The sequence below is a fragment of the Homo sapiens genome, chromosome 19, assembly GCF_000001405.40.
Source record: "Homo sapiens chromosome 19, GRCh38.p14 Primary Assembly".
Lineage (NCBI taxonomy): Eukaryota > Metazoa > Chordata > Mammalia > Primates > Hominidae > Homo > Homo sapiens.
The window spans coordinates 55,525,223-55,549,491 of record NC_000019.10 but is presented as its reverse complement, the minus strand read 5'-3'; the positions used below and the strand labels follow the sequence as shown (position 1 = coordinate 55,549,491).

Sequence of the window (24,269 nt, the reverse complement as noted above, 5' to 3'; positions counted from 1 at the left end):
CTCATAAAGCAAATAAGGCATTTTTTTTTCTTTTTTTTTTTTTTTTTTTTTTTTTTTGAGACAGAGTCTTACTCTGCCGCCAGGCTGGAGTTCAGTGGTCCATCTTGGCTCACTGCAACCTCTACCTCCCAGGTTCAAGCAATTCTCCTGCCTCAGCCTCCCGAGTAGCTGGGATTACAGGCACCTGCCACCATACCCAGCTAATTTTTGTATTTTTAGTAGAGAGGGGGGTTTCACCTTGTTGGTCAGGCCGGTCTCGAATTCTTGACCTCAGGTGATCCACCTGCCTCGGCCTCCCAAAGTGCTGGGATTATAGGCATGAGCCACCGCGCCCAGCCAAGGCATTTAAAAAAAAATAAATGTGAGAAACTGAAGACAGACTTGTTATTATCTGATTTCGAGAAATTGTTGGGCTGGATACTGTGGCTCACACCTGTATTCTCAGCACTTTGGTAGACCGAGGTAGGAAGATCACTTGAGCCTAGGAGTTTGAGACCAGCCTGGGCAACACAGCAAGACCCTATCTTAAATTTTTTATTTTTTATTTAATTTAATTTTATTTTTTTGAGACAGACTCTCGCTCTGTCGCCCAGGCTGGGGTGCAGTGGCGCCATCTCGGCTCCCTGCAACCTCTGCCTCCCGGGTTCAAGCGATTCTTCTGCCTCAGCCTCTTGAGTAGCTGGGATTACAGACACACGCCACCACGACTGGGTAATTTTTGTATCTGTAGTAGAGATGGGGTTTCACCATGTTGGCCAGGCTGGTCTCGAACTCCCGACCTCAGGCAATTTGCCCGCCTCAGCCTCCCAAAGTGCTGGGATTACAAGCGTGAGCCATCACACCTGGCCTCATCTTCAATTTTGTTAAAAAAGTCATTATGACAATTTTACTGTAGCTGAGCTAGAAATTTTCCTTACTTTTACAGATAGGTACTCTCAAATGTTTGGGCACAATTCATCACAATGCCTGTAGTTTAGTTTATAACTTGTAGCTTTTCATGAAGGAAAATTTCCAGCATAACCAGAAACAGAGGAATAAAATGAGTCCCTTCCCTCTCACTTGTCTCACCACCCACCCACCACCCCCCCATACACACACACACACACACACACACACACACATTTTCTTTTCTTTTGCCAGACTTTTTTGTTTGTTTGTTTTTGAGATAGAGTTTTGCTCTTGTTACCCAGGCTGGAGTGCAATCGTGCCATCTTGGCTCACCGCAACCTCCGCCTCCCGGGTTCAAGTGATTCTCCTGCCTCAACCTCCCAAGTAGCTGGGATTACAAGCATACACCACCATGCCCAGCTAATTTTGTATTTTTAGTAGAGACGGGGTTTCTCCATGTTGTTCAGGCTAGTCTCGAACTCCCGACCTCAGGTGATCCGCCCGCCTCGGCCTCCCAAAGTGCTGGGATTAGAGGCGTGAGTCACCGCGCCCAGCCGGCCAGATGATTTTAAAGCAAACACACCAGGCAGCTCAGCATTTCCACTTCCAAAAGACTTCAATATTTATCATTTACTTGAAACTAGTTTGTATGCCCCCGCCGACAAAGAAATAAAGATCAAGAAAGTATGGCCAAGTGGCCACATCTGTGAAGTTTAGCCAATGGGTGTTCATGACAGCACTTTTTTGTTTGTTTGTTTTTGTTTTGTTGTTATTATTTGTTTGTTTGTTTGTTGTTTGTTTTTGAGACGGAGTCCCGCTCTGTTGCCCAGGCTGGAGTGCAGTGGTGCGATCTCGGCTCACCACAACCTCCGCCTCCCTGGGTTCAAGCGATTCTCCTGCCTCAGCCTGCCCAGTAGCTGGGACTACAGGCACGGACAGCACTTTTTCTACTTTTCTGTAGGTTTGCGACTTTCCCCAATCTAACCTCCGAACAGCAAAGGAAGTTCTACCTCTGCCCCTCCTTGGGTCCCTTCCAGCTCCCCAGAGGCCAGCGCCACAGCCTGTTTCCTGCAGATCCTTCCAGCGCCTACGCGTCGCTGCCGTTGCTGTGTCTTTATTAATAGCAGGGCTGTAGTAGTAGTGGAAACACGAGTGGGGCAGGCAGCAGGCCTCTGAGTCACACAGGCCTGGCCCGGGGCCCGCTCCCCTTCTGACCTTGTGTAACACGATCGTTTCTCGGAACCTCAGTTTCCTGCTCCGTAAACTGGGGATAAATACTGACCCTTTGGGCAGCTGGGAGGATCCAGTGTAAAGCCCCGCACAGGGCTAGGCGCGGAACAGGTGCTGAGAACATGAGAGCACCTCTGTCCCTGGCGCTTCCCACAGCTACTTCAGCTCCTGAGTCCTGCAGGAGGAGGGGCTGGGCCTGGACTCCTGGGTCTGAGGGAGGAGGGGCTGGGGACCTGGGTCTGAGGAAGGAGAGGCTGGGAGTCTGTACTCCTGGGTCTGAGGGAGAAGGGGCTGGGAGCCTGGACTCCTGGGTCTGAGGGAGGAGGGGCTGGGGCCTGGACTCCTGGGTCTGAGGGAGGAGGAGCTGGAGTCTGGACTCCTGGGTCTGAGGGTGGAGAAACTGGGGACCTGGACTCCTGGGTGTGAGGGAGGAGGTGCTGGAGACCTGGACTCCTGGGTCTGAGGGAGGAGGGGCTGGGGCCTGGACTCCTGGGTCTGAGGATGGAGGAACTGGGGACCTGGACTCCTGGGTGTGAGGGAGGAGGGGCTGGAGGCCTGGACTCCTGGGTCTGAGGGAGGAAGGGCTGGGGTCCTGGACTCCTGGGTCTGAGGGAGGAGGGGCTGGGGGCCTAGACTCCTGGATCTGAGGGAGGAGGAGCTGGAGGCCTGGACTCTTGGGTCTGAGGGAGGTGGGGCTTGGGGCCTAGACTCCTGGGTCTGAGGATGGAGGAACTGGGGACCTGGACTCCTGGGTGTGAGGGAGGAGGAGCTGGGGCCAGCACTCCTGGTGTGAAGGAGGAGGGCTTTGGGAACTGTTCCCTGGTCCCTGGACACCAGCGCTCCTGGCCTCTGGGGCAAGACAGAGGTGCTCAGCTCTGGGCCAGTCATCCCAGCTCAGGTGTGTGGAGGGGTCTGTCCCACCCTTTCCTCTGCCCTCAGGCCTGGGCCTTGTTGGGGGTTCACAATATGTTTTGTCCCGTCTGTCCTGGGACTGGAGCCCAGAGTCCAAGCTGGTCTAAGTTTGGAAGGGAGAGGGAGGGGGCAGCGGTCAGAGGGGGTGAGGGAGGGGTGTGGGGGGACAGGATGTCTCTGTCTCTGAGCTGTCACACACACCCCTGTCCCAGGCCCAGAGAAAGGGAGGGACAAAGGCTTTGAGAGAGAGTCAGGAACAAAGAGGAGGAGAGAGACGCAGAGACACTGGGGAGAGCGGACGGAGATGCCCAGAGGGGCCGGGAGAGACGGGAAACAGACAGACAGAGAGAGGGGAGCAGGCAGGGAGCAGAGCGTGGAGACACCCCCAGAGTTGGTGGAGAAAGAGTGGAGACAGTGTGCGGACAGGGGAGAGGGGCCGGCGACCCACAGAGACGGGACAGGGAGGGGGAGTCCCACCCCAGAGACCCAAGTGCGAGACAGAGACAGGGAGGGTGGAGAGAGAGAGACGGGGAGAGAAGGAGACAAAGACGCACAAAGAGAGAGGATAGACGGAGCAAGAGAGAGGCTGACAGAAAGGTGTTCCTGTAGAAGGAAGGAGAGACTGGGGTTGGCTAAAGAGAGGGGAAGAGAGGGTGTGGGGAGTAAGGGCTATCACCTGGGAAGCACAGCAGGGAATACACCCAGAGGGTGGCAGGAGGGCACAGAGAGGCAGAGACACTCCTCCAGCTAGACAGAGCCGGACAGACAAGGGGCGACTGAGGCTGACCTTGCAGACGAGCTTCCATCCCTTGGCTCTGCGCAGCGAGAACCTGTGGGGTGCAGGGGGCTGGTTGCTTTCTGGGGAGCCCTGACGGGGGGGTCCCGCCCAAGGGCCACCCCACATCAGGAAGCCCTGAGATGGAGCGCAGGGCCTCCGAGACCCCTGAGGATGGGGACCCAGAGGTGAGAGACGGGAGCCAGGGGAGGAAGACAGAGAGAGAAAAGAAGGAGAGAGAGGCAGGAGGCAACACGGGGAGAGAGAGGAAGAGAAACAGAAAACAGGGAAACGCAAAGACCTCAGAGACCCAGACCCAGGGAGAGAGGATGACAGAGATCCAAGGACACACAGCGAGACCAAGGCCCCCAGAGAATTGGACTCAGAAACACACAGCGGGATGCACAGGGGAAGAGGACGGTGGAGAGAGAGACCAGGGTGGGCAGGGGGACTGTGTGGGCTGAGGATGCACCCCCACTCGGGGCTGGGGGCTCCTGGCCTGCTCCCACAGACAGGGGCAGGCGGGGCCTCTGTGGCAGTGACCCCTAACCTCTCCAGGACACAAAAACAGGTGGCCCGAGTCCGGGTGAGTCACTGTGACTCATCCTCCTCTCTGGGGACAGTGACCCCTGTCCCCTGCCCCACCCTCCATCCTGGGGCTGCGCCGTGACCTCCTCCCCCACCACTCTCAGTGGACCCCAGACGCGCCCCCTCCTCACCCTGCCCCTCTCCCGTAGGAGGACACAGCCACAGCCCTCCAACGGCTGGTGGAGCTGACGACCAGCAGGGTGACCCCGGTGAGGAGCCTTCGGGACCAGTACCACCTCATCCGGAAGCTGGGCTCCGGCTCCTACGGCCGCGTGCTCCTTGCCCAGCCTCACCAGGGGGGTGAGTTCAGCCACCCAAGGGCAGCCTCCCCAACTGCCCCACAATAAGCATTCTCGGAAGCCACCCAGACAGGGGGCATTCCCAGGAGGAGCTGATGGGGACCCTTCTCAGTGGGGGTACTCTGAAAGTTAAGAGCTCTGGGATCTTCTGAGAAACACAGGCCCCACCCCAGAGAGGGCGAGGGACTGCCTACGGTCCCACAGCAGGACAGGTATGCAACTCAAGTTGGAACCCAAGTCACCACCGTGTCTCTTACTTGATGCCAGGGGAAACTGAGGCCCGGAGAGGGTGAGGCGGCTGTGCAAGCCCACGCCGCAGTCCGAGGCAGAGCAGGGAGGGTCTTCAAAGAAGGTCTCCTCCCACCCACACTTCACAGACAGGGGAGCCCGTGCTGCCCATGAGAAGTGTGAGGCTCAGAGAGTTTACACGGCTTCCCTCAGGCCCCACAGCAGGACTGGAGCCGCCTGAGTGTCCCTCCGACCCATCTCCCTGGCAGGTCCAGCTGTGGCTCTGAAGCTCCTGCGTCGGGATTTGGTCCTGAGAAGCACCTTCCTGAGGGAGTTCTGTGTGGGCCGCTGCGTCTCTGCACACCCAGGCCTGCTGCAGACCCTGGCAGGACCCCTACAGACCCCCCGCTATTTTGCCTTCGCCCAGGAGTACGCGCCCTGTGGGGACCTCAGCGGGATGCTGCAGGAAAGGGTGAGGCCACGAGGGACAAAGGTTGGGAGTGCTTATCCCAGGTCCAACTCTGTCCCAAGCCCCGTCTCTGTCTCCAACTCTGACCCCAAATCAGGGCCCGCCCAATCCATCTCCACCCTGAGCCCCCACATGACCTCCCCCTTTCTAATTCTCAACGAGGTTCCATGCCTGACCTCAACCCTAATCCATCCAATCACCCAAACACAATCGTGGAAAGGCAGGGAGCTGGGGGTGGGATTGAGGATGGACTGGAGTCAATGAAGGGGGTGGGGAGGGAGACAGGGTTGGGATTTTAGTTGACTCTGAGGTTAGGGTGTGGGCATGGGTGGAGTTGGGTGGGTTGAGTTTAGAGTTGATTATAGATTCATCGTGAGTATGGAGAAAAGCATGAATGGGCTGCAGAGAGAAGCAGAGACGGTTGAGGATGTGTATATAGACTGAGTTGGAGATGGGCTATAATGGGGTTTCTTCTAGAAAGGAGACCAGGTCAGGACAGAACCCATGATATTCTAGGGTCTCTCGAGTTTGGAGATTAGGGGTAGGGATAGTTTCAGGAATAGATTTTGGATTTGAGATAAAGTTAGGGATAAATGGAAGGAATAAAAGAAGGAAGGGGATGAGGAAGGTACATGTGGAGAAATGAGTCTCATTGAGAATTAGAAGGATGGAAGGATGGGTGAGTGGACAGATGGGTGGGTGAATAGATGGGTGGAAGGAAGGACTGGTAGATGGATGGGTGGGTGGATGGATGGGTGGGTGGGTGGGTGGATGGATGGATGGATGGATGGATGGATGAAAGGATTGGTGGGTGAGTGGATGGATGGATGGATGAGTGGGTGGGTGGATGGAAGGATCCATGGGTGGATGGATGGGTGGGTGGATGGATGGATGGTGGATGGATGGATGGGTGGGTGGGTGGATGGATGGGTGGGTGGATGGGTGGATGAAAGGATTGGTGGGTGGATGGATGGATGGATGAAAGGTTTGGTAGGTGAGTGGATGGATGGATGAAAGGTTTGGTGGGTGAGTGGATGGATGGATGAGTGGATGGGTGGGTGGGTGGGTGGATGAAAGGATTGGTTGAGTGGACGGGTGGGTGGGTGGATGGAAGGATCCGTGGGTGGATGGATGGATGGGTGGATGGATGGATGGATGGGTGGGTGGATGGATGGGTGGGTGGGTAGATGGAGGGGTGGATGGATGGATGAAAGGATTGGTGGGTGGATGGATGGATGGAAGGAAGGATTGGTGGGTGGATGGACGGATGGATGGATGGATGGATGGATCGATAGAAGGAAGGATTGGTGGGTGGATGGATGGGTGGATGGATGGATGAAAGGTTTTGTGGGTGAGTGAATGGATGGATGAGTGGATGGGTAGGTGGGTGGGTGGATGAAAGGATTGGTTGAGTGGATAGGTGGGTGGGTGGATGGAAGAATTGGTGGATGGATGGGTGGGTGGATGGCTGCATGGACGGATGGATGAAAGGATTGGTGGGCGGATGGATGGATGGACGGAAGGAAGGATTGGTGGATGGATGGATGGATGGATGAAAGGATTGGTGGGCGGATGGGTGGATGGATGGAAGGAAGGATTGGTGGGTGGATGGATGGATGGATGGATGGATGGATGAAAGGTTTGGTGGGTGAGTGAGTGGTGGATGGATGAGTGGATGGGTGGGTGGGTGGATGGAAGGATTGGTTGAGTGGATGGATGGATGGGTGGGTGGACGGAAGGATTGGTGGATGGATGATTAATGGATGGTGAGTGGATGGGTGAAAGGAAGCAAGGGAGGATGAATATATGGATGTTGGATATTAAATAACAGAATAACTTATTGGATTGCTGACTGGTTGGTGGAATGGATGTTGGATGGACACACTGTTCAATACTGTTGGAAGGATGGATGGCTTCATGGATGAATTGCTGCCTGGCCAGCTGGCTGGCTAGACGGATAGATAATCAATTGATGAAATAAACTGGGGAATTTTAGAAAAGCCTCTGAGTTAGAGATGGGGTCTAGACTCATACAAGACTAAGATTAGGGTTAAGAATGAAATTTGAGTTCTCACTGGAGAAGATCTGGATGGTCAGTTTACAAAAGATATATAAGAAATGTTCACAGTGGGCCTGAGTGTTTGAGTTAGGAGAATCTTTGAAAGAAGCTAAAAGAAGGAGCTACTGGTTATAACTGGGGTTCCAGTGGGGAAAACTGGGAGACCAGCTGGGAGTTGGTCTACAGGAGTGCAGATATGGCTGCAGGTTGAGGTTGAGGATGATGGAGAGAAAGTCTTTGGGAGCATGTGGTGGGAACACTGGAGGTAGCCACTAGTCTGGGGTTCTAGATTCTCAAACCCCAAGAGTCAAACTTTTAGGACTTAGGAATCTAGAGCCTCTTTCAAAAATTATTCAGAAGGAACCAACTGGTGCAGTGCCTCATGCCTATAATCCCAGCACTTTGGGAGGCCAAGGCAGGAGGATCGCTTGAGGCCAGGAGTTTGAGACCAGCCTGGACAACATAAAAAAGACAAAACCAAGACACTCTGACCCTCCTCCTGTCTTCTTGACCTCAGGGCCTCCCAGAACTGCTGGTGAAGCGGGTGGTGGCCCAGTTGGCAGGAGCTCTGGACTTCCTCCACAGCCGGGGGCTGGTCCACGCAGATGTCAAACCTGACAACGTGCTGGTCTTCGACCCGGTCTGCAGCCGTGTGGCCCTGGGAGACCTGGGTCTGACCCGGCCAGAGGGCAGCCCGACCCCCGCCCCACCAGTGCCTCTGCCCACGGCACCGCCTGAGCTCTGTCTCCTGCTACCGCCCGACACCCTGCCTCTGCGGCCAGCCGTGGACTCCTGGGGCCTGGGGGTGCTTCTCTTCTGTGCTGCCACTGCCTGTTTCCCTTGGGACGTGGCACTGGCCCCCAACCCTGAGTTCGAGGCCTTCGCTGGCTGGGTGACCACCAAGCCTCAGCCACCTCAGCCACCACCACCCTGGGACCAGTTTGCGCCCCCAGCCCTGGCCTTGCTCCAGGGGCTTCTGGACCTGGATCCCGAGACTAGGAGCCCCCCACTGGCTGTCCTGGACTTCCTGGGGGACGACTGGGGGTTGCAAGGGAACAGAGAGGGACCTGGGGTTTTGGGGAGCGCCGTGTCCTATGAGGACAGGGAGGAGGGAGGCTCAAGCCTGGAGGAGTGGACAGATGAGGGTGATGACAGCAAAAGTGGTGGGAGGACGGGGACAGATGGGGGAGCTCCCTGACCAGGTGACAGAGACAGGTGGCCAGAGCCTGGGCCAGAGGCCCTTCCCCCAGCCCCCAGGGCCACCTGGATGGAGAGACAGCTGCACCCGGGAGGACAGAGAGGGAACACATTGCACTCTCCCTACGGAACGCTGGGCTTGGACGCGCATTCCTCTTCCAACTGAGGACCCAAGAGCCCAGCTCCTGCCCCTCCTCTCTCAGACGCAGGATCCAGGCTCCCATCCCTTCCTCCCTCAAGGACCTTTCCTCTTCCCTCCGTCCAGAGTGTCTTCTTTTTTATTTTTATTTTTTTTAGACAGAATCTCGGTCTGTGACCCAGGCTGGAGTGCAGTGGCGCGATCTCAGCTCACTGCAACCTCCCCCTCCCAGGTTCAAGTGATTCTCCTGCTTCAACCTCCCAAGTAGCTGGGATTACACCCGCACCACCACACCCGGCTAATTTTGTATTTTTAGTAGAGGTGGGGTTTCACCATGTTGGCCAGGCTGGTCTCGAACTCCTGACCTCAAATGATCCACCCGTCTTGGCCTCCCAAAGTGCTGGGATGACAGGCATGAGCCACCACGCCTGGCCATCATGGAGTTCTGATGGGATCACTCCTCTCCTCTAAGACCTTCCGTGGCTCCCGCTGTCCATGTCACAAGATCTGAACTTTAGGATCCGACACCATATAAACCTCACCCTCCACCTCTCCCATTTCTCTGGGCTGTGGGTGATGTCATGGGCGCCACTCATCTGTTCTGGACCTAAATCTACACATGTGAGAACACACACACGCACGCGCACACACACATGGGTGCATACGTGTGCACACACACGCACATACATGTGCATGCACTCACGCATACACACACGCGTATATGCGCACATGCATGCACACACACGCGCGCACACACACATGTGTGCATACATGGACACACACGCACTCGCACGCATGCACACATGTGTGCACACACGCATGCACACGCATGCACGCACAGCTGCTGCCAGACATTGGCGCACTGTGTGGCCTCCACCGAGAGCATCTTCCCCCTGACCCATGGCTCCAGAAAGTGGCCCCCACCCCCAGCCCTCTCTGGCCTCCTGGGGAACTTGTATTAGAACAATCCATGTCTCTTTCTGACTGTCCAGGCTGGACCTGGTCTTCTCCATATTTAGATCCTTCCCAGTTCTGCTCCCACAGAGCACCACGGATTGTGATTGTCCCAGCTCCGTCCCCCTTTCTCAGACCCGTCAATCCTAAGAGCCAGGCCTGGTACCCATGGGTCTCCTTCCTCACCAAGGCCAGCCCGCGCCCCGCAGTCCCATGGCACCTGCCAGACAGGACACGGAGCCTGGCTTGTGGAGGTTCACGCCTGCAGGACGGGGATGAACTAGATCCAAATCCAAGACCCCAGCACCCAGCGGAGGGTCCAGAACTGGAAACTGTGTTTCCTAAGCAGGAAGGTATGCTTCCAGGCTGGGAAGTGAGCTCACTACATACGACACGGCATCCTGGGCTCGATCCATCGTGGAAGCGCTGCTGAAATAACAGTCTGGTGTTGGCCCAACTGTGAGCCTCGTAGTTTTGACAAATGTCTCACGGTTTGCATCGCGATGCCGACACCAGGGGAGGCTGGGGGAGGGTGCATGGGAACTCTCCGCAGGATCTTGGCAACCATTTTATAAACCTAAAATGATTCCAAAATAAAAAGTTTATTTAAAAAAATGAAGTGACTTCACATCAGTCATGGCAGTATAAACCTGAAGGGTGGGCCAGACACGGTGGCTTATGGCTGTAATCCCAGCACTTTGGGAGGCTGAGGCGGGTGGATCACCTGAGGTCAGGAGTTCGAGGCCAGCCTGACCAACATGGTAAAACCCTGTCTCTACTAAAAATATAAGAATTATCCAGGAGTGGTGGCAGGCACCTGTAGTCCCAGCTACTCTGGAGGCCAAGGCATGAGAATCGCTTGAACCTGGGAGGTGGAGATTGCAGTGAGCTGAGATTGGGCCACTGCACTCAGCCTGGGCAACAGAGCAAGACCCTGTCTCAAAAAAATAAAAATAGCCCAGGCACAGTGGCTCACCTCTGTAATCCCAGCACTTTGGGAGGCTGAGGCGGGTGGATCACCAGGTCAGGAGATCAAGACCATCCTGGCCAACATGGTGAAACCCTGTCTCTACTAAAACATACAAAAATTAGCCAGGCGTGGTGGCAAATGCCCGTAATTCCAGCTACTCGGGAGGCTGAGGCAAGAGAATCACTCGAACCAGAGAGTTGGAGGTTGCAGTGAGCCGAGATCACGTCACTGCACTCCAGTCTGGGTGACAGAGCGAGATTCCGTCTCAAAAAGCAAAAAAAAAAAAAAAAAAAAGAAATAAAAAACCCTGAAGGGTGGGTGCAACCGTCCCAGAAAAAAACAGGGGTCTGAAGTCCCACTGTGGCCCAAGGCTTGGGGACTTCCTAGTGGGGCTTAATCTCCCTGTGCTTACAGCAGGGAGGCACTCACTGGCCTGTATTCCTGTTATGCGCTTTCAAACTATTTTTATTGTTATTCCTCTCTTTGGAATCAGGAGCCCTCAGGCCCTCCTCCCTCAGACCCAGGAGTCCAGGTCCTCAACCCCCTCCTCCCTCAGGCCCAGGAGTCCAGGTCCTCAACCCCCTCCACCCTCAGGCCCAGGAGTCCGGGTCCTCAACCCCCTCCTCCCTCAGACCTAGGAGTCCAGGTCCTCAACCCCCTCCTCCATCAGGCCCAGGAGTCCGGGTCCCGTGTAGAAAATGAAATCATTTCTGGAACCCACCCCTGCCTTGACCCCACCCAGCTGCCCCATCAATGCCCCATTGACAGGTCAGACACAAGTGCTTGGAGAGGGGTGTCCAGGGGATCAGATGCTGGGGTCTAGTTTGGGGAAAGAATGAGACAATGAGATTCCAGAACGATGCAGTGTGGGATGACCTCAGACTCAGAGGGGCGGGAAGCAGGTGCTGGAGCAACTGGGAAGAGAGGCCTTGAGGGGGTGGGGAGGCCTCAGTTCTGCCGGAAAACTTCAGATGGGTGGGGGAGGCTGAGGCCTGGACTCCTGGGTCTGAGGGAGGAGGGACTGGGGCCTGGACTCCTGGGTCTGAGGGAGGAGGGGCTGGGGCCTGGACTCCTGGGTCTGAGGGAGGAGGGGCTGGGGGTCTGGACTCCTAGGTCTGAGGGAGGAGGGGCTGGAGACCTGAATTCCTGGGTCTGAGGGAGGAGGGGCTGGAGACCTAGACTCCTGGGTCTGAGGGAGGAGGGGCTGGGGTCTAGACTCCTGGGTCTGAGGGAGGAGGCACTGGGGGACTGGATTCCTGGGTCTGAGGGAGGGAAAGCTGGGGGCCTGGATTCCTGGGTCTGAGGGAAGAAGAGCTGGGGGCCTGGACTCCTGGGTCTGAGGGAGGAGGGGCTGGGGCCTGGACTCCTGGGTCTGAGGGAGGAGGCACTGGGAGACTGGATTCCTGGGTCTGAGGGAGGAGGCGCTGGGGGCCTGGACTCCTGAGTCTGAGGGAGGAGGAGGGGCTGGGGCCTGGACTCCTGGGTCTGAAGGAGGAGGGCTCAACTCTTGGGTCAGGGTATTCACCTGACCACAGCCAGTTCCAGGAGTCATCACACGATGTCGCTCTGCTCCCAGTGGGGGCAGAAGGGGCGGGCCCAGGGGCGGGGCCTTACGACCCCCAAAGTCGGGGCGGGGTCTTGCTCCTAGGCAGGCCTCTGCTGGCATGAGCCCTAAGTGCCGGGCACTGACCACAGCCGGCGGCCGGAGGGTCAGGAGGGCCTTGGAGGAGGTGAGGTCTGGAGGTCTGAGCCCAGGTTGGGAGGTGGGCAAGGTGCCCTGGCCTGAGGTGGGCAGCACCTGAGGGTGACTGTACCAGGTGGCCCGAGTCCTCGGTCCCTCAGGGGAGCCTGGGCTGCACCTGGAGGCTGTAGAGCGGTGGAGGGTGAGGGAAACAGAATCAGGGGGTCCCCAGTTGTGTGAATTGTATGAGGTTCCGGGAGAGAGGTGGGCTGGGGGCCTGGACCCCTGGGCCTGGCGGAGGAGGGGCTGGGGGGCTGGGTCGGAGGGAGGTGGGTGGGCTGTGAAAGTGGGACCCCAGGCCTGTCAGGAGCTTGGGGACTGATCCCAAGTGCTCGGTCCCATGCAGGACCCAGGCGTCCCAGGCCCTCTGCACAGCCCGCCCTCCCAGCCCTGAGCCCAAGAGCACCTGTTTGTTCTCAGGAGACAGAGTCTACTCATCCACCCCCAGGGCCCAAGTCTGTTTGCTTTGGAAACAAGATGGGGGAGTCTCAGTTATCTGGTTCATCTTTCAACCTCAGGGTGGGCGGGTGGCGGCGGCGGCACGCGGGCAGGGACATCTGTGACCTGGGGCTTGAACTCACACCAGACTTGTCTCCCCACCTCTCACCAAGAGGGAGACTGAGTCACAATGAGAAGCGCGATGAGCCCCCAGCCCCTCCTCCCTCAGACCCAGGAGTCCAGACCCCCAGTCCCCTCCTCCCTTGGGCCTGGGACCTGAGCCTGGGCACCCCTCTCTGTTCTCGCAGAGATGCCCGGCAAACAGTCTGAGGAAGGGCCGGCGGAGGCAGGGGCTTCGGAGGACAGCGAGGAGGAGGGTCTGGGCGGCCTGACATTAGAGGAGCTCCAGCAGGGCCAGGAGGCTGCCCGCGCGCTGGAGGACATGATGACGCTGAGTGCTCAGACCCTGGTCCGAGCCGAGGTGGACGAGCTCTACGAGGAAGTGCGTCCCCTGGGCCAGGGTTGCTATGGCCGCGTCCTTCTGGTCACCCATCGTCAGAAAGGTACGAGGCTGTGGGGCCAGAGGTGGCAGGGTTCAGCTGGGGGCGGGGCACGGGCCTGGGGTAGCCCAGGCTGGGGAGGCTGGCAGGCCTGAATCAAGTCTTACCTCTGCCCTCCAAAGCTGTGTGTTTTTTGTTTTTTGTTCTTTTGGTTGGTTGGTTGTTTTTGAGACAGTCTGGCTCTGCCGCCCAGGCTGGAGTGCAGTGGCACAATCTCACTGCAACTTCCACCTCCCAGGTTCAAGTGTTCCTCCTGCCTCAGCCTCCCATGTAGCTAGGACTATAGGCATGCACTACCACACCCAGCTACATTTGTGTGTGTGTGTATTTTTCTTTCTTAGTAGAGATGAGGTTTCACTCTGTTGGCCAGGGTGGTCTCGTACTCCTGGCCTCCAGTGATCCGCCTGCCTCAGCCTCCCAATTGCTGGGATTACAGGCATGAGCCACGGTGCCCTGCCAAAAACTGTGTTTTGAGGAACTCCCTTGCCCTCTCTGAGTCTCAGCTTCCTCCTTTGGAAAATGTGGGTGATGATTTCTACTTGGAAGAATGGTGGATCCTCTGAGTGAATGTGGACTGCTCTAGTTGCTGGGGTTGTATAATGCTGGGTAAGACAGAGCTCCCAGCTCAGGAGCCTCCTGTGGCGGCTGTAGTGGTCACCGTGGGATGATGCAGAGTGATGCTGTCTGCTAAGCACTTAGCAAGGCCGGCACACAGTGGGTGCGCAGGACAGCTCCCCACTACCCTGGGCCTTTCTGCCAAGCACCGTGTCCTTCCATGAAACGGAAAATAGGGAGGCAACCTGAGGTCAGTCAGTTCAGGGCACGCCTTCTGAGGCCAGCCCTGTGCTGGGGGGGTTGGGCGGGCAGTGGACCCAGAATTGAACCAGAGCCAGTCCCTGCCTTCAAAAATCTCCTAGCATGAATGCAGAAAAAGTGTGCATTCATCTGCTGGGGCTGCCATAACAAAGGCAGGCGCTTCCACAACAGAACTTTTGACTTTTTTCTTTCTTTTTTTTTTTTGAAATGGAGTCTCGCTCTGTTGCCCAGGCTGGAGTGCAGTAGCACAATCTCAGCTCACTGCAACCTCCGCTTTCCAAGTTCAAGTGATTCTTGTGCCTCAGCCCCCCGAGTAGCTGGGATTACAGGTGCATGCCACCATGCCCAGCTCATTTTTGTATTTTTAGTAGAGATGGGGTTTCACCATGTTAGCCAGGCTAGTCTTGAACTCCTTATTTCAAGTGATCCTCCTGCCTCAGCCTCCCAAAATGCTGGGATTACAGGTGTGAGCCACTGTGCCTGGCCTTTTTTCTTTTCTTTTTTTTTCTTTTTTTTTTTTTTTTGAGACAGGGTCTCGCTGTTGTCCAGGCTGGAGTGCAGTGGCACAATCATAGCTCACTGCAGCTTTGACCTCCTGGGCTCAAGGGATCCTCCCACCTCAGCTCTGCAAGTAGCTGAGACTACAGGCGCATGCCACCATGCCCGGCTAATTTTTAAATGTTTTTTTTAAGATGGGGTCTCACTGTGTTGCCCAGGCTGGTCTCAAACTGGCCTCAAGTGGTCCTCCTGCCTCAGCCTCCCAAAGTGCTGGGATTACAGGTGTGCGCCACCGTGCCTGGCCAACAACAGAGCTCTGTTTCCTCACAGCTTTGGAGGCTGGAAGCCCGAGATCAAGATGTCAGCAGGGTTGGTTCTCCTGAGGCCTCTCTCCTTGGCTTGCATTTGGCCGTCTTCTCCCTGTGTCCTCACATGGTCGTCCCTCTGTGTGTGTCTGTGTCCTGATCTCCTCTTCTTATAAGGACACCAGTCACATTGGATGAGGGCCTGCCCACTCTAGTGACCTCATTTTACCTCTTTAAAGACCCCATCTCCAAATACAGCCACATTCAGCACTGGGGGGGTTAGGACTCCCACATACGAGTTTTGGGGATACACAATTCAGTAATAACACAGAGGGCAATAACACAGCCACACAACAGCACACCTCAGGAAGAGCCACGGATGCAGAGATCCAGCCCTGGGTGCTCACAAAGCCGGAGGCATGAGCAGTAACAGGCGGGGGCATTGCCAATGAGGCCCCTCCATGGCCATTTCACTGAACCTGTATCTGGAGGCCTCCAGCACACCTGCCCCTGGGCTGCATGATGCTGGGGCCCTGAACATGTCACTGTCGTTAAGAAGCTCAGGGCACCGTGGGGAGCATAGATGGGCAGGGATCGCCAACACCGGGTGGCGTGGCCGTGGCGGCAGTGATCAGGAGCGCTGTGAACACGCAGAAGAGACCCCACTGCATCTGGCTGCAGAGTGGGCGGGGATGGCTGGTGTTTTTGATAAGGAAGGAACTTTTTCTTTTTTTTTTTTTTTTTTTTTTTTTTTTTTTTTTTTTTTGAGACGGAGTCTCGCTCTGTCGCCCAGGCCGGACTGTGGACTGCAGTGGCGCAATCTCAGCTCACTGCAAGCTCCGCCTCCCGGGTTCACGCCATTCTCCTGCCTCAGCCTCCCGAATAGCTGGGACTACAGGCAAGGCATGCACCACCACACCTGGCTGATTTTTGTATTTTTACTAGAGATGGGATTTCACCATTTTGGCCACGCTGGTCTTGAACTCCTGACCTCAAGTGATCCACCCACCTGGGCCTCCCAAAGTGCTGGGATTACAGGTGTGAGCCACTGCACTCGGCCTTTCTTTTCTTTTCCTTTTTTTTCTTTTTTGAAGATGGAGTCTTGCTCTGTCACCCAGGCTGCAGTGAGTGGAGTGGTACAATCTTGGCTCACTACAACCTCCGCCTCCTGGGTTCAAGCAATTCTCCTGCCTCAGCCTTCCGAGTAGCTGGGATTACAGGCATGTGCAACCACACCGGCTAATTTTTGTATTTTTTAGTAGAGATGGGGTTTCGCCATGTTTGCCAGGCTGATCTCGAACTCCTGACCTCAAGTGATCCGCCCACCTTGGCTTCCCAAAGTGCTGGGATTATAGGCATCAGCCACTGCGCTGGGCCAATAAGGAGGGAATTTATCCCAGTTACACACGGCCTTGTGAGGGGGAAGGTTGCACCCTGGCAGCTGATGGCTCAGAAATCAAAGAAACCAAGCCGGGCATGGTGGCTCACACCTGTAATCCCAGCACTTTGGGAGGCCAAGGCAGGAGGATTGCTTAGAGCCTAGGAGTTTGAGACCAGCCTGGGCAACATAGCGAGACCGTCTCTACAAATTTTTTTTAAAAAACTTAGCCAGTTAGCAGGAATTTCTGGTGTCAGGGAAAAAAATCAGCTTGGTGTGCAATTAGCCCAGTGGCGGTGCACAACTGTAGTCCCAGCTACTCAGGGAGCTTGGGCAGGAGAATCGCTTGAGCCCGGGAGGCGGAGGTTGCAGTGAGCCATGATTGTGCTGCTGCACTCCAGCCTGGACGACAGAGAAAGACCCTGTCTTAAAAAAAAAAAAAAAAAGGGCGGGTGTAGTGGCTCACACCTGTAATCCCAATGCTTCAGGAGGCTGAGGTGGGTCATCACCTGAGGCCAGGAGTTCAAGACTAGCCTGACCAACATGGTGAAACCCCATCTCTACTAAAAATACAAAAATTAGCTAGGTATGGTGGCAGGTGCCCGTAATCCCAGCTACTCGGGAGGCTGAGGCAGGAGAATCGCTTGAACCCAGGAGGCAGAGGTTGCAGTGAGCCGAGATGACGCCACTGCACTCCAGTCTGGACAACAAGCGTGAAACTGCATCTCAAAAAAAAAAAAAAAAAAAAAAAAGGAAGACATCAGAAGTTCCTTCGGGGAGTTTAGCTTCTAGGAAGTCGTTTCCACACGTGACAAAATCCACAATTCCTAATTGGCTTTCTTACCCAGTGTGGGTTACCTTTTCCCCAGGTGTCTCAAAAATACCTTTTTGCCTCAAACACGAGTTTGCTGTCATGAGAAGCCAAACGAGGTCATTGGAGAAATTTCATGGTATCCCTCCATCTCCATGGCTATAGACTTGTAAGAAAGCAAGGTAGAAATTCACCACGTACTGTTATTATTTTATTTAATTTTTTACAGATGCCACCATGCCCAGCTAATTATTTTTTTAATTTTTTTTTCACTCTGTCCCCCAGGCTGGAGTGCAGTGGCGCAATCTCGGCTCACTGCAACCTCTGCCTCCTGGGTTCAAGCAATTCTCCTGCCTCAGCCGGCCAAGTAGCTGGGATTACACGCATGCGCCACCACACCCAACTAGATTTTTATGTTTTTAGTAGAGAAGAGGTTTCACCATATTGACCAGGCTGGTCTTGAACTCCTGACATCAAGCAATCCACCCGCCTCGGTCTCCCAAAGTACTGGGATTACAGGCGTGAGCCACAGTGCCCGGCCTTTTTAAAACTTTTTTTAGAGGTAGGGTCTCACTGTGTTGTCCGAGCTGGTCTCAAACTCCTGGCCTCAACGGATCCTCCCACCTCGGTCTCTGAAAGCGCTGGGATCGCAGGCCTGAGCCCCCAGCTGGTCCCCAGCGTGCTATAACTATTGGTACCGCTGGTGATGCTTGGGTGGCCATGCTGTTAGGATGGGCTCAGGAGGGAGGTGGGAGTTGGAGGAGGTGGAGATGGTCTATGGGAAAGAGTCCAAGCTGAGGGGCCATTGAGGGGACCACAGGGGAACAGAGCAGCTGGCCCAGGTGGCCCTTGGCTGCTGCACGCCTCCCATACCTGTCCCTGCTGCCCCAGGCACACCCCTGGCACTGAAGCAGCTCCCGAAACCCCGCACGTCCCTCCGTGGCTTCCTGTACGAGTTCTGTGTGGGGCTCTCGCTGGGCGCGCACTCAGCCATCGTGACGGCCTACGGCATTGGCATCGAGTCGGCACACTCCTACAGCTTCCTGACGGAGCCCGTCCTGCACGGGGACCTCATGGCCTTCATCCAGCCCAAGGTGCGTAGGCAGACCCCAGGCCGCCTCCGAGTGCCTCACCGGCCTCCCAGGAACGTCCTGAGCAGCCTGGGCCGCAGGAGCCACAGCCACTGCGTTGGGCCTCCCTGGGCCTCCCCTACCCCCCGGAGGCCCCTCGTGGGGCCCACAGGACTCGTGGAGTTGTTAGGCCTCTTTGGAGTTCATAGACATCACAGAACTCACACGATACACCATGGAGACTCACCAGGCAGCCCCAGGTCACACTGGACCCCAATCAAGTCACAGGCCCTACAGGGTCACCCGAGGCCCCGCTTAACCTACAGGTCCTACAGGGTCACCCCAGACCCCACTAAACCCACAGGCCTCACAGGTCACACTAGGCCACACTAAACCCACAGGCCTCACGGGTCACACTAAGCCACACTAAACCCACAGGCCTCACAGGTCACACTAGGCCCCACTAAACCCACAGGCCTCACAGGTCACACTAGGCCTCACGGGGTCACCCTAGGCCACACTAAACCCACAGGCCTCACGGGTCACACTAGGCCACACTAAACCCACAGGCCTCACGGGTCACACTAAGCCACACTAAACCCACAGGCCTCACAGGTCACACTAGGCCCCACTAAACCCACAGGCCTCACAGGTCACACTAGGCCTCACGGGGTCACCCTAGGCCACACTAAACCCGCAGGCCTCACAGGTCACACTAGGCCTCACAGGGCCAACTATTCACCGTCTTCCTTACCGGCCTCCTTGGCGTCCTGGGCCTGCTTCCTGGGTCTCGGTTGCCTTCCGTGGCCCCGGGGCACTGGGCCCTGACCCCTCTCCCCGCAGGTGGGCCTCCCGCAGCCCGCGGTGCACCGCTGCGCCGCCCAGCTGGCCTCCGCCCTGGAGTACATCCACGCCCGCGGCCTGGTGTACCGGGACCTGAAGCCGGAGAACGTCCTGGTGTGCGACCCGGCCTGCCGGCGCTTCAAGCTGACCGACTTCGGCCACACGAGGCCTCGCGGGACGCTGCTGCGCCTGGCCGGGCCGCCCATCCCCTACACGGCCCCCGAGCTCTGCGCGCCCCCGCCGCTCCCCGAGGGCCTGCCCATTCAGCCCGCCCTGGACGCCTGGGCGCTGGGCGTCCTGCTCTTCTGCCTCCTCACGGGCTACTTCCCCTGGGACCGGCCCCTGGCCGAGGCCGACCCCTTCTACGAGGACTTCCTCATCTGGCAGGCGTCGGGCCAGCCCCGGGACCGCCCTCAGCCCTGGTTCGGCCTGGCCGCCGCGGCCGACGCGCTTCTGCGGGGGCTGCTGGACCCTCACCCCCGAAGGAGGAGCGCTGTGATCGCCATCAGGGAGCACCTGGGGCGCCCCTGGAGGCAGCGGGAGGGCGAGGCGGAGGCAGTGGGAGCGGTGGAAGAGGAGGCTGGGCAGTGAGGAGGCCCCGGGGGATGCAGAAAGGGAAGCCGCCCCACCCGAGGCCCCCAAGGCCAACGGCTTTTGGTGTCTCCTCGGTGTGTTTTCATCCATGGGGCTTGGGATTCCCCTCGGCGTCCTCCTCCTCTCTCCTCTCTGCAGGCTGCATTCCTCCCTTGGTCCATGAGGGCCTCAGACCTCTGCATGTCCCTCCATACCTGCCGCCACCTTCCCCAGGGTCTCAGACCTCCGCGTGGCTCTCGGTACCTGCCGCCACCTTCCCCAGGGCCTCTGCACTTGCTGTTTGCTCAGGGCACTTTAGGCTCATCCCCTCACCCCTCGCATTTTTATTTTTTTTGAGACAGGGTCTCGCTCTGTCTCCCAGGCTGGAGTGCAGTGGTGCTATCTCTGCTCACTGCAGTCTCAAAATCCACAGCTCAAGCAATCTTCCTGCCTCAGCCTCCTGAGTAGCTGGGACTACAGGCATGCGCCACCACGCTAGGCTAATTTTTAACTTTTTTTAGAGATGGAGGGGTCTTGCTATGTTGCCCAGGTGGGTGTCAACTCCTGGCCTCAAACAATCCTCCTGCCTCAGCCTCCTGAGTAGCTGGGACTACAGGCATGCGCCACCACGCTAGGCTAATTTTTAACTTTTTAAAAAGATGGTTGGGGGCGGGTCTTGCTGTGTTGCTCAGGCTAGTCTCAAATTCCTGGCCTGGAGCGAGTCTCCCACCTCGGCCTCCCGCAGTGCTGGGATTACAGCTGCGCGTTGTAAATGCTTACTGTCTGCCTCCTCATCCCCCCACTCTGCTGTTGCTCTAGGACGTGTATCCTCTTCTAACTGCATGGCTTATTTTTTGTGGTTATTTTGTGAGCTCCTGGAGTCGGGGGTCTTTGCCGCCTTCCGTCTGCTGACAGACCCCATGTACTCAGCGATGGCCTGCAGCAGGGATCAGGAAATGTCTGTTAAATAAATTAGCCTGTCTGGTGTGGCGCAGCCTCCCCTCCGTCCCTGTCCTCCCGCCGTCCTCTCTCCTTCTCTCCGGCCGGGTCTCCCTCCCACCTGGCACCACCCTCTCTGTGATGTGTTTTGCCTTCTCTCGCCCCAGCCACTCTGCAAATAAACTCCATCTGGCGCTCAGATCCCAGTGCTGCTGCGAGTCTGTCTGCTCGGGAACGAGAAGGGGAGTGTGCATCAGAGGACGTGTGGAGGAGGGAGGGGGGTGCAGAGGTAGAGAGACAGAGACACAGAGAAACAGCAGGGAGAGATGGAGAGAGACAGAGACACACACACAGAGAAACAGAGACGGGGGAGAGAAAAAGAAGGAGAGATGCAGATAGAAAAACAGACACACAAAAAGAAACAGGTGGAGGAAGAGAGAGAGAGAAACAGACACAGACACATACAGAGATAGAAAGAGAAACAGACAGAGACAGAGAGAGAAACAGAGATGGAGAGAGACAAACACAGGAAGAGAGACACAGACAGAAAAGAGACAGAGAGGAAGGGAGAGAGAGAGACGGAGGGGCGAGGATGAGCTGCCTGAGCTCATGGTGCTGCCTGAGCCTCCCTGCTGTCCTGCAGGGGGTCCTGATGGCAGAGCTGTGGGCAGGAGGGAGTGAGCCACCTGCTTCTAAGAATCCCTCTCCTTTACCAAACCAAAGTTTGTGTGCTAACAATGGAATGAAAGATATGGTTCTCAAAGCTTCCATCAAGGAACTCTATATGCATGTGTGCATGAGTGTGTGTGAGTGTGCATGTGTGTGAGTGTATGCGTGTGCATATGAGTGTGAGAGTGCACATCTGTGCAAGTGTGAATGTCGTGAGCATGAGTGTGTGCCAGTGAGTGTGCACGTGTCTGAGTGTGAGTGTGCGTGCATGCGAGTGTGCACATTGTGCGAGTGTGTGCGCGTGTGTGCAATTGTGAGTGTGTGCATGTGTGTGCAAATGTGTGCAAGTCAGTAATGTGTGAGCATGAGTATGTGTGCCAGTGTGCGTGTGTCCATGAGTGTGAGTGTGCATGTGTCCATGAGTATGCGTATGTGTGCCAGTGTGCATGTGTGTCCATGAGTGTGAGTGTGCATGTGTCCATGAGTATGCGTATGTGTGCCAGTGTGCATGTGTGTCCATGAGTGTGAGTGTGCATGTGTGTCCATGAGTATGTGTGTGTGCGTGAGTGTGCACATGTGTGTGAATGTGTGTGAATGTGTGTGTGCAAGTGTGCACATATGTGCAAGTGTGAATGTCCTGTGTGCATGAGTGTGTGTGCGATTGAGTGTATACATATGCATATGTGAGTACAAGTGTGCACATGTGTGCAAGTGTGAATGTCATACGTGAGCATGTGCCAGTGTTCATCTGTGTCCACGAGTATGTGTGTGCATGTGTGTGCAAGTGTGAACGAGTGTGCACATGTGTGCACATGTAAATTCGTGGGTGAGCATGAGTGTGTACGCCAGTGACTGTGCGTGTGTGTCCATGACTTGCGTGTGTGTGCACATGTGTGCAAGTATGAATGTGTGTGCGTGCGTGTGAGTACAAGTGTGCACATATGTGCAAGTGTGACTGTCCTGTGCATGAGTGTGTGTGAGTGTGTGCGTGTGTGTGCGATTGAGTATGCATATGCATAAGTGAGTACAAGTGTGCACATGTGTGCAAGTGTGTGTCATGTGTGAGCATGAGTATGTGTGCCAGTGAGTATTCATGTGTCCACGAGTATGTGTGTGTGCATGTGTGCAAGTGTGAATGTGTGTGCATGTATGAGTGTGCACATGTGTGCACATGTAAATTCGTGGGTGAGCATGAGTGTGTACGCCAGTGAGTGTACATGTGTAAGCATAAGTGTGTGTGCACGTGTGTGCAAGTGTGAATGTCATGTGTGAGCATGAGTATGTGTACGCCAGTGTGAGTGTGCATGTGTGAGCATGTGTGTGCACGTGTGTGAATGCATATGCATGGAAAGGAGGGAGGATGGCGTTGTGTGTCTCACTGCACGTGGATGATAATACAGCTTTGTGCCTGCTGTGTCTGCATGAGCATCTGAGCTTGTGTGTGCTGACGTACTTGTGTGTATGGGGAGTGAATGTGACTTGCTATGTGTGGACATCGGATCCGTGTGTGTGCGCGCATATGCCTGTCAATGTGTAGCCAGGGTGGGAAGGTCACGCAGGCGCCGCGGGCGGGCGCCGCCTGGGCCTTCTCTCCTTCGCACCTTCCTCCTCTCTCCCCCGCCCCTGCTTGGCAGCTGCCCTGTTTGCAAACACTGTCTCTTCCTCTCCGCGCCCTCCTTGGCCTCAGGCCCAGAGCAAGGCTACAACTCGGAGCTGGATCGTGTGTCACGCACTCCCTGGCCCCTGCATACCCCGCAGGGCGCCTGCTGTGGCCACCGAGGTGTTGCCTGGAGCGGGGCTGACAGCAGGTGTGCTCCTGTGGAGTGACCCCAAGGAGCCTTCGAATCCAGGTTCAAGCCATAGAGTTGGGGCCTCTGACCTGGACAATCCGGGTGAGCTTCCTGGAGTAGGGATCATTGGGGAGAAGAGGGGAGTCAACAACGCGGGGGGTGGGGGGTGGGGGTGGAATATATCAAGACTTCCTGCCCCTTTATCTGTGAATCTGAAATAGCCTGAGCTGTTAGGCCAAGAATGTGTCCCAAAAAGCTGGAGGTGGCTGGGATGCGGCATGCTGGGTGGGAGTGGAGACTGGGCAGGGGGCAGGGGGGCACGAGGTGTTGATTGCTGGCGGCAGCTGAGGATTATCTGAAAGGTGATAATGACCAGCCTGTCATGGGTGAAGCACAGGGGAGGACATAAACTTCCCAGGAATGGCCTGACCCCGGCAGGCAGGCAGGCAGGGACGACACTAATTAAGTAATGCTTAGTGCTGGCCGGAGGCTGAACCCCAACCAGGGATCTCAGAGGCCACGTCTGCTCCCCGACCTGTCCCCAAGATGGTGGCGGGGGTCCCTGGGCTCTGCCCATCTCACGCACGGGGCAGCCAGGTTCCCGCCGTGCCCACACACCGGGCCGGGGGGCAAAGCCTGGAGTCGAACCCAGCTGGGCTCCAGCACATGGTCCCTGCTGTTAACCTGCAGGGATGTCCTGCCGTGCTCAGCGGGAGGAGGGGCTTGGGGGCACGGGGGTGTGGGTGAGTGGGCGGGTGGGGGTGAGGGTGTGTGTGCGGGTGATTGTGAGTGTGCATGAGGGAGTAAGCTTGTGAGCGTGAGCGAGCTGTATGTGTGGGGGTGAACATAAACGTTTGATTGAGTACAGGTGTAGATGTGAGTGTAAGGATGAGTGTGAGATTATGAGACTATGTGTGAGAGATCAAGACACTGTATGAGAAAGCATGCACGTGTGTGAAAGAATATAAAAGCATGGGCGGGCGCGGTGGCTCATGCCTTGAATCCCAGCACTTTGGGAGGCTGAGGTGGGACGATCACTTGAGGCCAGGAGTTTGAGACTAGCCTGGGCAACTAGTTTATTGAGAGTTTGTATTATCTTTTTTGCTTCTTTCTTTCTTTCTTGTTTTGTT

At 56.2% G+C, this 24,269-nt stretch overlaps 2 protein-coding genes across 5 annotated transcripts, besides 5 other annotated features; both read left to right on the top strand.

Moving 5' to 3' along the window:
• Nucleotides 1,895-2,189: a silencer, noted in NCBI's record as "tiled region #14522; K562 Repressive DNase unmatched - State 5:Enh". NCBI's record gives its function as "represses a minimal TATA promoter and a strong SV40 promoter by Sharpr-MPRA in K562 cells {active_cell/tissue: K562}" and the evidence as "EXISTENCE:reporter gene assay evidence [ECO:0000049][PMID:27701403]".
• Nucleotides 3,711-4,547: an enhancer, noted in NCBI's record as "H3K4me1 hESC enhancer chr19:56056311-56057147 (GRCh37/hg19 assembly coordinates)". NCBI's record gives its function as "activates a minimal SCP1, AML or CMV promoter by ChIP-STARR-seq in primed H9 embryonic stem cells {active_cell/tissue: H9 hESC(primed)}" and the evidence as "EXISTENCE:reporter gene assay evidence [ECO:0000049][PMID:30033119]".
• SBK3 (SH3 domain binding kinase family member 3) lies at nucleotides 3,949-8,836 on the top strand. Of its 3 annotated transcripts, none has more exons than NM_001199824.2 (4): nucleotides 3,949-3,993; nucleotides 4,543-4,693; nucleotides 5,190-5,392; nucleotides 7,966-8,836. In NM_001199824.2, the coding sequence occupies exons 1-4, from the start codon at nucleotides 3,949-3,951 to the stop codon at nucleotides 8,644-8,646; spliced, it is 1,080 nt and encodes a 359-aa protein (NP_001186753.1). In that variant the 3' UTR covers nucleotides 8,647-8,836. The 3 variants fall into 3 exon arrangements, with proteins under 3 accessions (NP_001186753.1, XP_011524600.1, XP_047293965.1); XM_011526298.3 differs by lacking the exon at nucleotides 3,949-3,993 and adding an exon at nucleotides 4,256-4,391; XM_047438009.1 differs by lacking the exon at nucleotides 3,949-3,993 and having other exon boundaries at nucleotides 4,635-4,693; nucleotides 5,134-5,392.
• Nucleotides 11,456-11,750: a silencer, noted in NCBI's record as "tiled region #3421; HepG2 Repressive DNase matched - State 10:DNaseD". NCBI's record gives its function as "represses a minimal TATA promoter and a strong SV40 promoter by Sharpr-MPRA in HepG2 cells {active_cell/tissue: HepG2}" and the evidence as "EXISTENCE:reporter gene assay evidence [ECO:0000049][PMID:27701403]".
• On the top strand, nucleotides 12,359-20,881 carry SBK2 (SH3 domain binding kinase family member 2). 2 transcript variants are annotated; one of them, NM_001370096.2, is made up of 4 exons: nucleotides 12,359-12,438; nucleotides 13,196-13,450; nucleotides 18,147-18,349; nucleotides 19,169-20,881. In NM_001370096.2, exons 2-4 carry the CDS (start codon nucleotides 13,198-13,200, stop codon nucleotides 19,757-19,759), a joined length of 1,047 nt encoding a protein of 348 aa, NP_001357025.1. In that variant the 5' UTR covers nucleotides 12,359-12,438; nucleotides 13,196-13,197; the 3' UTR covers nucleotides 19,760-20,881. The 2 variants fall into 2 exon arrangements, with proteins under 2 accessions (NP_001357025.1, XP_011525529.1); XM_011527227.3 differs by having other exon boundaries at nucleotides 18,147-18,698; nucleotides 19,035-20,881.
• Nucleotides 17,786-18,286: an enhancer, noted in NCBI's record as "H3K4me1 hESC enhancer chr19:56042573-56043073 (GRCh37/hg19 assembly coordinates)". NCBI's record gives its function as "activates a minimal SCP1, AML or CMV promoter by ChIP-STARR-seq in naive H9 embryonic stem cells {active_cell/tissue: H9 hESC(naive)}" and the evidence as "EXISTENCE:reporter gene assay evidence [ECO:0000049][PMID:30033119]".
• Nucleotides 22,461-23,335: an enhancer, noted in NCBI's record as "H3K4me1 hESC enhancer chr19:56037524-56038398 (GRCh37/hg19 assembly coordinates)". NCBI's record gives its function as "activates a minimal SCP1, AML or CMV promoter by ChIP-STARR-seq in naive H9 embryonic stem cells {active_cell/tissue: H9 hESC(naive)}" and the evidence as "EXISTENCE:reporter gene assay evidence [ECO:0000049][PMID:30033119]".

Bases quoted from the DNA above. Each gene is read 5' to 3' on its own strand.
- SBK3 (XM_011526298.3), top strand. From the start codon at position 4,272: ATGCACCCCCACTCGGGGCTGGGGGCTCCTGGCCTGCTCCCACAGACA. The intron at 4,694-5,189 runs GTGAGTTCAGCC...TCTCCCTGGCAG, and splicing joins TGCCCAGCCTCACCAGGGGG to GTCCAGCTGTGGCTCTGAAG. The intron at 5,393-7,965 runs GTGAGGCCACGA...TCTTGACCTCAG, and splicing joins GCGGGATGCTGCAGGAAAGG to GGCCTCCCAGAACTGCTGGT.
- SBK2 (NM_001370096.2), top strand. From the start codon at position 13,198: ATGCCCGGCAAACAGTCTGAGGAAGGGCCGGCGGAGGCAGGGGCTTCG. The intron at 13,451-18,146 runs GTACGAGGCTGT...CTGCTGCCCCAG, and splicing joins GGTCACCCATCGTCAGAAAG to GCACACCCCTGGCACTGAAG. The intron at 18,350-19,168 runs GTGCGTAGGCAG...CTCTCCCCGCAG, and splicing joins TGGCCTTCATCCAGCCCAAG to GTGGGCCTCCCGCAGCCCGC.